At 43.2% G+C, this 3,423-nt stretch overlaps 1 annotated feature.

Annotated features, from left to right (window-relative positions):
- Positions 1,212-2,411: an enhancer, noted in NCBI's record as "P300/CBP strongly-dependent group 1 enhancer chr11:97836500-97837699 (GRCh37/hg19 assembly coordinates)". NCBI's record gives its function as "activates an origin of replication core promoter dependent on BRD2, BRD4, P300/CBP, MED14 and CDK7 cofactors, with strong dependence on P300/CBP, by STARR-seq in HCT116 cells {active_cell/tissue: HCT116}" and the evidence as "EXISTENCE:reporter gene assay evidence [ECO:0000049][PMID:35650434]".

The following is a 3,423-nucleotide window of genomic DNA, read 5'->3' as shown; positions in this document are numbered from 1 at the left end:
TGGTGGCTAAAGCATATCTAGTCTGTCTCCAAGAAGTTGCAACAGTGGCCCTACTGGTGCCAGAAGCCACCAAATTAACCCTGGGGAATAGCCTGTTTATATCCACATATTGTGTTAGGATTGCTGTCCTCTAGAGGAGGCCTTTGGCTAAGAGACAGCCACCTCCTTAAATACCAGGCTCTACTACTAGAGGGATCTGCAGTCCAACTAAAAACTTGAATCCAACCACCTCCCTCCCAGAGGAAACTGGGGGACCTGAACATGACTGGGAGCAAGTTATAATACAAACCTATGCAGCCAGGGAAGATCTCAGGGAAACTCCCCTAGAAAATCCAGACTGGACCGTCTTTACAGATAGAGCTCCTTTGTGGAACAGGGAGTCCATAAGACAGGGTACACAGTAGTCACCCTGAATAGTATCATTGAAAGCACGTCTCTCTCACCAGACACAGGTGTCCCATTAGCTGAGCTGATAGCTCTTGCAAGGGCTCTTGAATTAAGCAAAGGAAAAGCAGCTAACATTTATACAGATTCCAAATATGCCTTTCTTATCCTCAGTGCTCATGCCAACATTTGGAAGGAGAGACACTTTCTCACTGCTAATGGGTCTCCGTTAAAATACGATCAGGAAATTAACAGGCTGTTATCCTCAGTTTTCCCTCCATGAGAAGTAGCAGTAATGCATTGTAAAGGATATCAAAAAGGAACGGATGGAATAGCTGAGGGAAACAAGTTAGCCAACCAGGCAGCCAAGTCAACAGCACAAAAGCCTCAGGGTGCCAACACCCTTGAAGCCCCTATAATCTGGGAAGGCTCCATGAGGGAAATGAAGCCTCAGTATTCCCGTGCAGAAAGAGAATGGGCCACTTTTCAGGGATGCAATTTCCAGTCCTTAGGATGGGTGCAGTCAGAGGATGGCAAACTCCACTTGCCAGCCCCCAACCAGTGGAAGATCCTAAAAACCCTTCACCAAACTTTTCATCTAGGGAAGGATAAAACTTGTCAATGAGTCCAAAGATTATTCTCAGGGGAGAACCTACTAAAAACAGGTTAAGCAGGTTGTTAATGCTTGTGAAGTCAAGTCTTAAGAACGACACCCTCAACAGACAGCTTCTCCCACCTCCAGCTCAGAGAATGGTAAGTTATCCAGGGGAGGACTAGCAAATAGACTTCGTCCATATGCCAAAATCAAGGGGCACTCACTACCTCCTGATGTGAATGGATACCTTCACTAACTGGGTGGAAGCATTTCCATGTCGAACAGAGAGGGTCTCCAAGGTAGTACGAGTATTAATCAGTGAAATAATTCCCCATTTTAGACTCCCTAAATACCTCCAAAGTGACAACGGCTCCTCATTTAAAGCAGCTGTTGCTCAGAGTGTCTCAAAGGCACTGGGCTTATGCTATCATCTCCATTGTGCCTGGAGACCCCAGTCCTCGGGAAAGGTAGAAAAAACTAATGACATTATCAAAAGACACCTCAGAAAGTTATCTCAAGAGACTCACCTACCCTGGACTACTCTCTTTCCCATGGCCCATTACAAATAAGAAATATCCCTTCAAATTTAGGTTTAACTCCTTTGGAAATGTTGTATGGGTGACCTTTTCTTACCAGTGATTCCTATTAGATCAGGACACCTCTGAATTGGTCAAACATATAGCTTCCCTGACCCACTTTCAACAGGAGTTGACACAGCTAACAGAGGCCAAGTTGCAGGAAATAGGACCACCTTTATTTAATCCAGGAGACTTAGTACTGGTGAAGGCTCTCCCTTCTCTTTTCCCTTCTCTAGACCCTATTTGGGAAGGACCTTATACTCTTTTCTCTCCACCCCCTTGGTGGTAAAAGTTGCAGGAAGTGACTCTTGGATTCATCACACTTGAGTCAGAGCCTGGAAGACTGTGGGAGAAGCCCCAGACAATCCAGAAGAATGCTCTGAATATCACTGTGAAGAAATAGGAAATCTTAAATTGAAAATCACCAAAGATAAGCAAATACCAGATACATTCTGTCATTTCTGCCTTTCCTCTCAAAATTACTTCGTAGATCTCTAAAGGGAAATTCTATATCCTGGTGAGTAAAATTTTAGATGGAAATTATTTACTATGCCACATTTGTGGGAATTGCTATACTTACAATGCTATTTGCAATAGGACTATGCACTGTAGCACCCTCTGAGTGGAGTTTTGGACAGAGAGCCTCTATTGCTGTAGTATATTGTTTAGTTGTCTTTTTTATAGAGGGTCTTTATCTTTCTCAAGATGGCCACCCACAGCCTGTATATATTAGGAATTAGCCTCATCATGCTACCAGGTTTTGCTGTACCCCTCCAACAATTAATAAATTAAGGGTACCTTTTAAAGACTTTAAATCTAGCACAGAAGTTGTTAAACACCACCAACCAAACTTTGGCAAGGGACTGCTGGCTTTGTCTATCATCCTCATCTCAATACACGGCCATCCCAGTCCCAGCCAGATATTGTGCACTTAATAAGATGACCTATTACCCCAAATACAAGGGGGAAGTCCCCTTTATGGTAATGAACTTGAATAATTTGTATAACTTTCAGATTAATGAGATGACAAGGGTCACACTAACAGGTCAAGCAGTAAACCTTCTCCAGTCCTATCAAGGTAAAGTTTCTAGGGTTGTATCCCCCCCAAAACCCATTTGGGGCCCAATATCAACATACACAGAAATAAAGTTTCAAGCACCACTTTGTATTATGAGAAGCCAACATTTTTGTCAGGACCTGGGGACCTTAAGAGGACATCAAAGCAACTAAACCCTAGAGATTAACCCCTCGCATGATCATGTAAACTACATGTTTTCCCAAACGGCACCATTTAGAAGACCTGTACAATCCTCAGGGAGACCATCCATAAATAAGGGGACTTTGAGGGGTGTGCAATCTGGGTATTGTATAAATAGACTCACTAGTTGTGTTCACATTTTCCCTTGGGAAGATTGTACAACCGCTGAGGTATCTTAGTGCCTGTTAGTTCCCCAGTATGAAGAAACTTCTGAGTGGCTGCTGGTGGATATCAAATGCAACTACCTACACTGGGAAAACAAAACTGTTGGGGTAAAACAGGATATTTCCCAGGGTCCTTTCCAACCTTTAACTGGGGCCACCTTGGCAGGAACCCTAACCACCTTGGAAAATTAAAATTGCAAACTAACCTATATATTCTCCACAGAAAATAATTTCTGCCTTGAAAAACAAGAGAGTCTTCTTTCTGTGCAGAACCAACTCCTACTTATGTTTACCAGCCAACTGGACTGGAAACTGTATGCTTGTTTACCTAGCTCCTGAAATTAATATAGCCCCCAACAACCAATCCCTTAGCATAAACAAGCTATCCAGTTCATACCCCTTTTGGTAGGATTAGGAATCGCAGCAAGTGTAGGGACAGGAGTT

The sequence above is a fragment of the Homo sapiens genome, chromosome 11, assembly GCF_000001405.40.
Source record: "Homo sapiens chromosome 11, GRCh38.p14 Primary Assembly".
NCBI lineage: Eukaryota > Metazoa > Chordata > Mammalia > Primates > Hominidae > Homo > Homo sapiens.
The sequence above is the reverse complement of the archived record's forward strand: the minus strand, read 5'-3'. Positions and strand labels throughout refer to the sequence as shown.